Source organism: Homo sapiens, chromosome 7, assembly GCF_000001405.40.
Source record: "Homo sapiens chromosome 7, GRCh38.p14 Primary Assembly".
NCBI classification, from domain to species: domain Eukaryota; kingdom Metazoa; phylum Chordata; class Mammalia; order Primates; family Hominidae; genus Homo; species Homo sapiens.
In genome coordinates, this window is record NC_000007.14 from 115,220,778 (window position 1) to 115,233,549 (window position 12,772).

Sequence of the window (12,772 nt, forward strand, 5' to 3'; positions counted from 1 at the left end):
GTTTGCCATTTAATTATTAGAGCTCATATGTAACTATTCAAGCTAAGTTACAGAGCTGGACATGACCTTTTATAGACATAGGACAGCATTTTTAGAATTAAAAAATTATTATTCTTTTTAACTTAGAAGCTTAGTGTATTACAGTGCAAAGGACAGGAGAGGAGTGACCAGGAAATTCTAGCTTCTGGAGTGTAGCCTTGGCTGTGCCACTAATTAGCTAGGTTACTTTTGACAAGTTACCAGCCCAGAACTGTGGATTATTACAGCTTGGAGTTGCATGAGATGTCTCCTTTTCACCTTTCTCATCCAACCAACCGAGAAACTGAGGCCTGGAAAGTTTAAAAAACTTGACAAAGAGGTTATGTTTTTGGCCCATAAAGTTCCCATGACATTTTTTTTGTATAAATGAGTAATAAATAAATAATTTGTAAAACTCTTAGTTTCAAAATTCTATGATCCTATGAGGCTTTAAGTTTTTAAAAAGAATTTTCTTATCTGTATTAGAAATATAAGAATGTGGGTTTTCATGAAAACTCACATTTTCATATGACGGTATAGATGTATTTAATAATTTCTAAAAATTGACAGTCTGCCTTAAGTGATTAGGCAGATAGTCTCTAATTCATCTTGCCTGAGGTAATTCCCACTGACTTCAAGCCTTAAATGAGGTATGGAGGAAAATGAGAAATGAGCCCATAGAGTTATAATATTAAAGAATCACAGAGATTGTAACCATAGAGGATTTTGACTAACTCACATTAATTATCCAATTTGTGAAAGAAATAAAAGAATTATGGAGAGCTAAATTCCTGAAAAATGAGTACTTCCAGGATTCTTTAATGAAGTCATATCTTTCTATTTACAATATTTCCTTAAAGTTACATCATTTCTGAGGGTGTTTTGTGTGTGCATGATTGTTGATCTATGTTCTGTAGCTTCCACACTCCCAAAGGATGCTTATTCCTTGAAGGAGAGTTTTATTGCCAGTGGAAACTGTACAATATTAATGTGGAAACTTAATTTCTAGGGCAAACTAAACAAAACAAAAGCAAGAAACTAAAGAAAGGCTCTCCACATACTGGGGTAGTGAGAAATGCCCACTCCCCTGACACACACAGACACACACACACACACACACACACACTCATGCACAGCAGGAAGTATGAAGGATAAGAGAGATGTGAACAGGATTTATTGTTGCCTCATGTTCTGTAGGCACTGTGAAAAACACTTTATAAACTGTGAGCTCTCACAAGTTTTAACAAATTTGGATGGTGATCCAGTGCATCTGATCTAAGAACTGATTTAAGGAACTCTTCACTACTGGACACCTATTTGCCTTTTTGGCGCTTTCTGAAATTTAGTTAGAAATCCAGATAAACTGATGTCACTGCTTCTATAACTATAAATATTTTAGTTTTAATTCAGTGAAACGATGTTGGAAGCTCTCCCCACCCTGTCCTGTCTTCCTAATTTAAAAGCATTATTAATCCATGCAAACATTTTGATTATTGTTTTCCTTGTATTCTATGCTTTTTCTTTTCTAAGAATGTTTTATGCTTTTCCAAAGAAAAATTTGTAATTCCTGCAATACTAGGGGACTGATTAATCATTTTAATCCAAGCCACAAGTTATCATATAGCTTTTATGAAATTTTTAATTAGCCAAACCAAAAAAAAAAAGTTTGAGAAATTTAGAATACAGATCCTAATTCACTTGTTTTCAAATTCTTGTCCAATTGATAATGAATTATTTCAGAGGTTGTAAAATCTAAGTTCTTTTTAAAGAATTTTTGCATGGGTTTATAAAAACTGAAAAATAAAATGAATGCTGGTAGTGATTAAAACATACCAGAAAATAATTTTTGATAAATGAAAATCATTAAATATATATAAAATATATTAATTTATATCCCAAGGAAACTGTGCTATAGTATATGAGGGATGAAGACAGAGAAAGAGCCTGGGCCAAAAAAACTTGAAATTAACTTAGGTGGTAGACAATTATTTTTTATAGGACTTGAATAGGAGAGATCAATTTTTGACCTTCCAGTGTCATAAGTATATGTGAAGTTGGGCAAACTCAACTCCAGAATAAGCTAATTTCAATATTTGGGGTGTCTGATCTGTGGTAAGTCAAGTTAGTTTATCTGCAAAAAATAATTCTAAAAGTTGTCAAGTTTTAATTTCCAGGTGAGAATGTGGATCATGAATCAGAGCATTATAGATGATCACAGGAGATCTTGAAAGAAGGTCAAGTCAATGGAAAGGATGGCAAGAGCCACAGGGATGATCTCTCATGCAGAGAGGGAGTCATAAGGAAAAAATGGTCACCCAGGAAGGAGGGGCTATGAAAAATACTTGTCACACCTGGTGGCCACACATTAGACAAACTGTAATCTAGTAGTTTTACAAACTCTTGAAGGATAAGGGGACTGGTTAAGGAAGCAGCGTATTCTTTTCAGACCTTTCTTTGCATAGCATTCCAAAAGTCAATCACATGTTGCTTTCAAGGGGCCAGGGGCTGCCTGAGATACACAGAAAAGGTTAAAATTTATTACCTCTGTCAGTGTCAATTAGAAATAGGATAGGCCTAGGCAGGCTTACTATAGCATTGACATCTCCAGGTTTTCAGAGAGGAGAAACAATGTTAAGTAGATAACTCGATCATTGTTTCTGGCTCTCATAGGCTGGACTTGTCCTGAGTTCATCCTAACCAGCATTGGTATCTTACAAAGTCCAAGAAGAACAATGCGGTTGTCCTATCTTTGATACTTTCCACTGCATTATTTTTTCTAAACCTTTTTTGGATGTATCTCCATTTTACATCTATAAGAATTGGAGAGCTTTAAGTGACAGCAGCGGGTTCACATCTTATCTTGAAAATAATCCCTCAGTACCTTGATGCATTTCTATTATGACAGCAAAATAGATTTGAACAGGCATAAAATCTGGAGTCAGGAAAACCTGAGTTCAAGTTCAAATTTATTGTCTACCCATTATTTTGCTCTGTAAGCCTCAGTTCCCACAAAACTAAAATGGAGATAATTATACTTACTTTGCTGGGCTATTGTAAAAATAAACACAAATGCAGATAAAGCATCTGGCCCATGGTGGGTGTTCAATAAAAAGAAGCTATTATTAACTACATCCTGTTTCTTTAGGAAGAGTATTATTTGGTTTAGTACTGCACTTTTACTTGGGCAAGAATTATAATTATCAGCTTCTAAGATTAACCAGTACTTATATCTACATTTTTCCCAAAAGGAAGGAAAATCTGTGGCTCCTAAAGTGTGCTATATTTGAGACAAGTTTCCTGCACTGGCAATGGCAGAGCTTTTGTGAGCCACTTCAGATTATGATATTCCATGGTAATTCGTCCCCTGTTTTCCAGTGGGTGATGATGTCACTCCTGTGTGATCCAGCCAGGCTGGAATAAGCCTTCCAAAACTACCTTGAACATTGGTCATGTTTGCTCATATTTGAGAGGAGATACTTCTGTGACATTACTTTGCTAATTTTCTTCTCTGCCACATATTTCCACTTGAAAAGAGAGGGCAGCCCTTCCCATGAGTTGTATCTACTTAGAGCCAACTGGGTAAAGCATTTATGAATACATTTTGGTTACATTGGCTACATCTTTTAAATGGGCTTCGAAAACTAATCTTAGGATAGCTGGGCATTTTCCTTTGACCAGGAGAGATTGCAGAGTGCTTTTCTCACCTCCTCTCTCTTAGAGGTTTATGACGTGAAACAAAATACTAAGTTGCTATTGTCAGCAGAATAAGAGCAGTTCAAAATATCAGAAAATGTACTGATACACAGTTATCAGTCCCCAAACCCCACCCAATCAAGAGATCTGGTGGATCTGTTTAATTTTCACCTCTCTAGTATCTACAGCCTATTTATTTAGACCTTCATGAGGGATTCAGAACAGATTCAAATTGCCTATGGAAAATGCTCTATTTCATTTAACACACATGCCCTGAAGACCCACTCTGTGAAAGACAATTGTAAGGATAAAAACAAGAGTAGGATGTAGACTCTGCTATCAAGAAATTTTTCATTTGATGAAAGAGATAGCCATGTATATAAAAAAAAAACAAAGAAAAATGTTGTGTTATAAAGGATAGAAGCAATGTTGTGCTGAATAGATATTAATTATAATCAGAGAAATTGGGAAGCAGCTTACATCCCTGGACCAGGAATATAATGTGGCATTTCAACCCCTGGGTGTAAGTGCTCAGCATGGAACAAACATCAAGAGTGTGAAAGGAAAGAGCACAGTACGATTGGAGCGTGGGCGATCATCTGGCAGGGCTGGAGCAGTTCACCCGGAGCGAAAGTAGAAAGACAGGTGCAGCCCTATCAAGTATCAGAGAAACTTGAATAGAATGTTACATGTAGACTGGAGAATATGAGGTGAGAGGCAGGCGTGGAGGGGTGAAAATGGTCTAATTGGGTTTTGTATATGTTCAGTTTGAAGTGTTAGCAGAATTTTAGGTTCTCTTTGTCTAAGAGACAGCTAGAGTGTTTAGAGCTGAGGGAGAAAGACAGAAACTGAAGACAGTTTGACTTGCAACACCATAAAAGTGGTAGTTTCAATCATCAGCATGAAAATGGTAGTTACAGTCATCAGCAGAAAGGTTGTAGTTGAAACTACGGAAGTGGACGAACTAACCCAACAACAAGGTGTAGATCAAGACCAGAAGAAGGTGAAGACAGATCCTTGGAGTATTCCTACCTTTAGGGCATAAATCTAGAAAGTAGGGTCCATGACAGACATCAAAAAGAAAAAAATAGGGAAGCAGGAAGAGAACCAGAAAAGCACATTATCATAGGCTCCAAGGGGGAGAAAAAGCCTCAAAGAAGAGCTGGTTGCTAAACAGGTGGTGAATTCTGTCCAAAGGCTAAGGGTGACAATATCAAAACAAAAACTCTGTAGTTGTGAGGTCGCTGAAGGTACTTGATGCTTTTTAATAGAGGTGTTGGTAGAGCTAGTAGATCGAGTAAAATTGTTAGCAGTTGGATAGTGCATTAAAAAAAGGGAACAGAGACCTCAGATTTAGAGGTGATAGAGTGGAAGGCTGCTGATGGATTTTCAGGGATATTAGTTCGAAGTGTCTCTTGAGAGATGTACAGTTTTAAGTGTGCTGACTCCCAAATATTTTCTTGGCTCAGGCTCTGCGGAGTGTCTTTGTGTCAGGTCCCTGGGGAGAGGATATAAACCAAAAGCACTTGATTGTCTTTGCTGAAGAATGATAAAGAAAGCTATAATCGCCTGTGTGTTAGCACAGGTGAGGTCAGCATCATACAGGGTGGGATTGCCAGAGACAGAAGCAGAAATTGCCATTTGAAATAAACAAGTGTTACAGCAGAAACTCAAAGTACTCCTTGTGTTCGCCTTTCTCCTCTACATCTAAGCCCGCTAGAGAAAGGAAGGGAACTTGTGGGTTTGAGGGACATAGTAATACAAATGGATAGAAACTTGAAAATCTTTTAAGATTGGCTACTGAATCTTTGATTTTCTTCCCTTAAGATTAGTATGGCTTTTGACAAACTTATTATCATCTTTGCAAAACAGGGAAATACATTTGACTTCTGTTAAGCCCAAGAAGGCCTTAACATTCCCCCCAGCTTGACTACACTTCAGACAAATTTCTTCCTGCCTATAAGCCCCTGATCACCCTTTTCTTAGAGTATTTACTTTAGAAAGCTTGTAGTTGCAAATTCCTTCTCTGTCCCTTTGAGATGTAAATCTTCTCTCAGCCTCTTGCCAGTTTTACTACCTAGGAACGTCTTTCTCAAAGACCTGGGAGCCATCCCTTTGAAATGGAATCATCAGGAAAGATAAGGTCCCTACCCCCATTCTCTGTAAGAGGGCAGGAAGCTAACTTTCCTAAGTGATAATTGCCAGTTAGCAAACTCAAATGGCCTAATCACATTGACAAACCTCCCCTCAATTCCCCCAAGGTACTTTCCTAAGACCTGGCTTCAATGCTTAAAAACCTTCCCATCTTGTTTCAATGGAGTTGAGTTTAGTCTCTTCAGTTGCAATATTCTTGACCCCTATTGCAACAATCTTGAGTAAAGCCTTCTTTCTTTGTTTAATTCTGGCTGTTGCAATTTTTATTTGATACTTTCAGAAAGCATATTTTATTATCATTGGAGCTTTGATTCTCATTCTTTATTTTTTTTTATATTTTTAATGTTTATTTTGGAACAATTTCAAGTTTACAGAAATATTGCAAGAATATTGCAAATAATCACTGTGTACTCTTTAGTCAGAAACACTAAAATTTAACATTTTACTATATTTGCTTTATCTCTCTCTTTTTATATATGCGCGCACACACACAAACACACACTTTTTTTTCTTTTTTAAAAAATTCTTTCGTACATGGCCCCTATCTTCCTAGGTTGGCTCAATCTAGAAAGACAAGAATGACGTGTTTTACTGCCAGGTGGATGGACTGGCCCAATAATTTGGAAGTATGGCTTAGTGGAATGGAAACTGAGAGACATATCCCAGCCAGCAAAACAGAGGCATTTCAGCCCTTCCCTGAAGCATGATATATAGAATACACAATAATTTAATGTTTTAAAATGTAAAATGTCTATTAGTAATTTCTGATATTAAGGGGATTATCATGCCTATCTCTGTATTGAGCTAGTTCAGAAAAGTAGATTTGGGTCCTGAGTGATGGAATCTGAGCTCTAGAACATCTACTTGATTTAGATTTAGCTGCCTCCCATATGTGCTAAAGGATAAGGCCATGTTTTAAAAAGAGTTATGAAATATTTATTGAAAAAAAATACAGCAAATGTGCAGAAGCTGCCTTTCCAAACAAAATAACTTGGTCATTTTATTTTTATCCCCAAACTGCCTAAACGCAGCAGCCAACATCATGGGCTAATGGTTGAAAATGAAGCTGTTCTTGAGTCATATGAGGCCAGAAATAAAAAATAAAGTAGAAAAAAAAAAACTTTTTGTATGGTTGAAATACTATCATTTAAAAACAGCCAAGATAACTTTTCAGCAATAAATATAGTTGCAAGACTATGTGCTAACTTTTGTATATCTCCATTTTTTACTAGACATTAATACATCCTACAAGGGGAAAAAGGTCTTTTAATGGAAATGCTGATATTGTCACGATATGATGTTAAAAGGAAAACCTTAAATTGAACAGAGTTTAATTGAGCAAAGAATGACTCACAAATCGGACAGCCTCCCGAGCCAGAGTAGGCTCAGAGAGACTCCAGTGCAGCCACAGGGTTAAAGATTTATGGACAGAAATAGGAAATCGATGCACAGAAAATGGAACTGAGGTACAGAAACAGTGGATTGGTTACAGCTCAGTATTTGCCTTATTTGAACATGGTTTGAACAGTTGGTCACCTTTAATTGGCCAAAATTCAGAGATTGACACAAGAATTGGTTAGTTGGTTTACATATCCAGTTAGGTATCAGTTCACTACATATGGAGAAACTTTTAGGCTGAACTTAAAATATGAAAGGAGGCAGCTTTAGGCTAACCTAGGGTTTTCTTTGTATGCCATATGATTCTGACCTGGCCTGTCATATCTTGAAAGTATTTAAAAATATTTTCAGCAAAGTGCTTATCCCACATCCTAATAGATTTGGATATTGAACTGAACAAACACCATCCCTATTTGCCACTTGAACTCCTCAGTATAGTGTTCTCATTTTATAAGATTCCTGATTTTCTAATGGCAAATTTCTGTGGGCTACACTTTCACTGGCTGCCATGGTACTAAATTTTATAATAAAAATAACTCCATGCTTTTATTTTTAGTGAAGAAGGTGATGTCCATATAATCCAAGTTCATATGGTACAGAGGAGAGAATTGAGTAAGAAATAAGAACGAAACCCATACAGCCCTTTCCTCTGATTCGATCATTAAGGCATCAAGGGAGACAGCTGAATGTGTTCTCTATATATACTCCTGAAGTATTATATGAGAACGACAGAACCTTTCACAAAAGTTTATGAAAGCAAATTTCACACTGAATTCTTTTATCATTTGAAGAGGAAGGTGTAACTTGAACATTCAAAAAAATCTACAGAGGCTGTGTTTGGGTTAAGAAAAAAAAAAAAAGAACACACTCCTGACAATCTTCTCACACCATGTTATTGAGCCCACATTTCTTCCTATTAAATGTACCCATGAGTTTTTGTAACCATTCACCCAAAAAGGTCACTTGGCATTTTAGCTCCTGAGATGGGGACACACTGGGTGGGTAATAATGGCCAGAGAAGTCAAAGGGATAAACTTAGAAGCCACTATCTCTACAACTTTAAAAACTCAAACCCTACCTCCTGTTGGGGCATAAAATTTTGAAAACCATTTGTAGACTTATCAGTGAGAGCCTGGGTATAAAAGAGGAATGATGCTTTGCAAAATCCCCCAAGACTGCCCGAGCCTTTTCATGGTAATGAAGAAATGTCAGTGGAAGTTGATGGGGCGTGTGTGCATGTGTATGGATGTGGGGGTGGATGGGGCGCGAGAGAGGGAAAGGCTGGCAGACTGAAATTTTACATCTCAAATGTCATTTGGAAATCACTTGCGTACTCCAAGCCCAAGTCCTAAACTCTTCTGCTATTAAAAATGGTCTGCAAACAGGTCAGTCTGCTGTAAAAAATTGATTTGACAACAGCATTTTTAAGTCTTTGACGGCTTGAAGTTGGCAGCATTTTCTTCCGCTCTGATGTGGTTTGAACAGAAGCATGTTTATCTGTTATTTATGTAACAGCCTGATGAAAAAATGGGGCATGTGCTTCCCTTCTATTTGTCTTCTGCATTAACCTCATTTTGAGGTCAGGTGAAAATGCTATAGGTACTGATTGCAGCACGTTATCAGCATTATTGCTTAATGTGCCATCAACCACAAGTGCAAGTGGGCTCAGGATCATCGCCGCGGTCTTCCCAGGAATCATTTATCTGGGGCTAACTCCGAAAAAATCATTTAGAATTGTGACATTTAAAAATAAAGATTAAAAGTTCTGAAAGGAGCAGAAGTCATCCACACAGGGCCCTCTTGGCACCATAAATCAAAGTTTGTTAGAGCTGCAAATTGGAAGAGCATAACACAGAGGTGCAACCCTTTGATGTGGTTATGCAACTCACTGGTCTCCACCACTTACTAGACCACTTCTATTTTTGAGTACTATTCTCACAACGTAGACTGTGATTTTTTGGCAAACAAGCACAAAATCCAGGGTTAAAAAAGATAAAATGTATCTAGCATAAAGCATCTTTTAAATGGAAATGCCAAGTTCTTTATAAATTTGAAAAATTTATTCATTACCCGGCTTCTAGGGGAGCCCCTTATTTCCATTTTTTTTGCTGGGGCTATCTGTTTCACCCCACTAGGCTTTCCAAATGGCTGTCCACAGATGCTGAGCCTTTGGTCACCTCCGAGTGGTGTTTGGAAAGAGTACTGGGGAACTGGGCTGCTTTTTGGCCTCCTTGCACACAATTCAAGTCAGAGCTTTTGATCTTAAGGTAATATAGAGCTTGGAAACAAAAAATCTGCATTTAGTTTGGAATATCTGAAAATGATAGTGGTTAGGAAAAAGGATGTTAGGCATGGTTTGTGTGCAGGCTATTATAGGTACTTCCTTTCCAAAAAGGTGATATTTAGTGCTACAAATTAGTTATCATATCAGTATTAGAAGCTTTGTTAGGAATTCCAAATAATACGCAATTGTGATTATACACAAGGTGTTTGCAAGCCCCATCTTGTAGGTATTATTAAGCCACAGAATATTTTATACATTTTAATAATTAATAGTCAAACACCTTGCTAAATACTACTCCTTTTGAGGAGAAGTAGTAGAGAAAGAATACAATTGGCTGTTTATATTTTTGTCTTATTCATAAAGAGAATAAAATTATGTAAAAGTATTTATAAGGAATTTATCATCCCAAATGCATTTTAATAGTTGTAGATAAATACTTCTGTTTTGAGAAGGCTTCAGAGCTGTAACAGAAAATGAAATAAAGGGCTCATGTGGAAAGAACTTTACAGCATGCTGCAACTTGATTGTTCACACTTCAAAGCAATTCTAAGAAAAACTGTAAATAAGGACTAGGCATAAAACTCTGCTGGCACCTGGGAATACTCAGCCCACTGCACAACAGAACAGAATCTGAATTCTGGCAAACAGCCAACCTCTGTGGATAAATCTGGAAAGGCTTAATGTACACTGAAGAACTGATGTACTCAGAAACTATGTGGGTGTACTTAGCTTCATGCCACTTAGAGAACTCATTGACTTCCCTGAATACAAAGTAGATCTGGTCATCATGTGTTACACCAGATTCTAGTACTGCTTGCAAGCCCATAATAAAACCCAGAGTTTATAGGAAGGACTCACCTTTCTCAAGAGATACTTCTCCTACTCTCTCTCCTTTTTAATGCTCATTTGGACTTATTAGACTCTCCAAAGCAGTTCTCATACACTTTAACAAGATGAAGATATACTAGGAAAGGTAATTGGGTGAGCATTACTAAGTGTGAGTCATAAATAGTGTAACAAAGGCTTTGAGTGAGTCATCTGCCTAAGTTACCATAGCTATACCCAACATAACACTGCCTTTCTCTTTGTTAAGTGGACAAACTACCATAACGTCTAACAGTATCAATAGCATGTTTTTTTGAATAGCTCATTTTTAAATATTCTCAGTTGTTTAAGTTTATGTCATATATTTTCCAGATTAAGGCTCTTTGGAACAGAAACCACTGTTATAAAGATAGGCAACAGATCACTTGCGTATTTTAAAACAAGAAATGCACAGACATTGTAGGGATTTGTTTTTTCATGATAGCCTGGTAATAAAAAAGTTTAATACAAAACCTTTCATCTTCAAAGGGATCTGAAAAACGTAATTATTCAACGCAATAGCAAATGTTAGATTTCTATTAAGTTAGCTGAATTTTCCAGTTTCTTTCCTTCCCTCAGCATACATTTTCCTATTGCTGGCTTCACCAGAAAAATAACAGCTTAAAATTTATCCCTAAGCTAAAACCCATTAAATGATTGACACAATCTTAGCTAACATGAAAAGTGACTTATATAAAACCTGGTTTGCTGTTTGGGGGCATATTCTGCTCTCAGCAAATGAATGCACATTTTTCTCCATTGATCAGTGGAAAGAAGTGAATATTCTTCAAACATGAAACTTTCTTATATAGCTAAATATCTTTTGTGCTACTATGAGTCATTCCTGAGCATGTCTTTTATTCCTTTGTGATTTTATCAAAGTTCAGATATTTTTAAAAGATCTTGGAATTTTCTAAATAGGGTTCACGTAATATATTCTCCAGCTATATACTTTTTTTTAAAAGGTATTAGAACGAATTCAGATCCTGACATACCATCTTGTGTTTCACATATGATCAGTCACCTTCTTAAGATGATAACAACTTTGACGTTGCAAATGAACACATTCCCATGTGCTTGAGGCCAAAAAGAGGCAGTCAGTGAAACTAAAAGGAATTGCCTGAATATGACTGTTATTTCTATTTGTTGCTAGGTTCTTATTGGAATCTGTGTTGGTAAATTAATTTGGGGTGCACATATCATAGGGTTGATATTCACTTTGTGTCACCAATATGGCTGTATTTCTTATTGAAATACTGAGAAATTTCTGTATAGATTAGTAGGTAGCTGTTGCTGCAGACCCTGCCAAATGTCTGTCTGTCTTTTCCTGCTGCTCTGGTCCCACACGGGGATTGTCGCTTCTTCTCCTTACTTCAGAAATTGTTAATATCTTTGCACGAGTTTTTTCTTGGGCTCTATTCCTGAGCCAAGACTAGCATCTATTCTGGTTGGTTGTTGTTTACGCTACACATATATTTTAAAAGTCACCTCAGCTTCTGTGTATGGGAAGTGATGGAGTCAGAGTGTCCTAATTGAATCCTGAGTTCTGCTACTCAGCAATGCATGATTTTGGGTGGGTTGTTTACCTGCTCTGTGTCCCAGTTACTTCCTATGTAAAATGGAAATAATAAAATGAATTAGCTCACAGGGATTTTGTGCACATTATATAATACATGTGAAGTACTTAGAATAGTGTCTTTCAGTAAATGTCCCATAGTGTTGTCGTCTTTGCTGCCTGGTGTAGGAATAGAACACAAATTTCTTGATTGTGAGCTTGAAATTTTTACACTAGATAATACCCCTCTGGCTCCAATAATGCTGGTGATATAATAAGGTACTAGACTACAGCAATCATTTGAGTGAGAAATGAAATCTATTTTCAATTTTCATTTATTTAAAAACATGGTTCACCTGAGAGTATTGCATGCTGATTTTCATTATTTACAAGGATGTTATGTAAATATAAAGACTAGAGTTATTACTTGCATGCTATGAGCCAAGTAAAATTTAAATGTGACTAAAGGAGAAAGCCAGGGACTACTTACTGCTACCTAGCACTGACCTTTCAGAAGGGCAACTTGAACAATTCTACCTGCAAAAAGTGCCTCATTAGCTGACCGTACAGCATCTCCACTGTCCAGGTAGAAACAGGATGGAGCAGTTGGTGAAGGGACCACATTGTTTTTGCTTTAATCTTATTGGTGACATTTGCATCTGTCAAAACTGTCCTTCCTCCCTGAGGACTGAAGCATTGTGGATCACAGTCCTTTTCAGTCAAACTGATCAGTTCATTTAAAAATTATCTCCTGTAGGACGGGCATGGTGGCTCATGCCTATAATCCCAGCACTTTGGGAGGCCAA

General features: G+C 36.9%; 1 long non-coding RNA gene across 1 annotated transcript in view, besides 2 other annotated features; it reads right to left on the reverse strand.

The window, feature by feature from the left end:
• The window catches only part of LINC01392 (long intergenic non-protein coding RNA 1392), a 107,757-nt gene extending 97,179 nt beyond the window's left edge, over positions 1 to 10,578 (reverse strand). Inside the window, exon 1 of the long non-coding RNA NR_126407.1 lies at positions 10,406 to 10,578. This is a non-coding gene — a long non-coding RNA (long intergenic non-protein coding RNA 1392). The remainder of the gene's footprint in view (positions 1 to 10,405) is intronic.
• Positions 5,054 to 5,623: an enhancer, noted in NCBI's record as "OCT4-NANOG hESC enhancer chr7:114865885-114866454 (GRCh37/hg19 assembly coordinates)". NCBI's record gives its function as "activates a minimal SCP1, AML or CMV promoter by ChIP-STARR-seq in naive and primed H9 embryonic stem cells {active_cell/tissue: H9 hESC(naive and primed)}" and the evidence as "EXISTENCE:reporter gene assay evidence [ECO:0000049][PMID:30033119]".
• Positions 5,624 to 6,192: an enhancer, noted in NCBI's record as "OCT4-NANOG hESC enhancer chr7:114866455-114867023 (GRCh37/hg19 assembly coordinates)". NCBI's record gives its function as "activates a minimal SCP1, AML or CMV promoter by ChIP-STARR-seq in naive H9 embryonic stem cells {active_cell/tissue: H9 hESC(naive)}" and the evidence as "EXISTENCE:reporter gene assay evidence [ECO:0000049][PMID:30033119]".
• Positions 10,579 to 12,772: the final 2,194 nt, after the last annotated feature.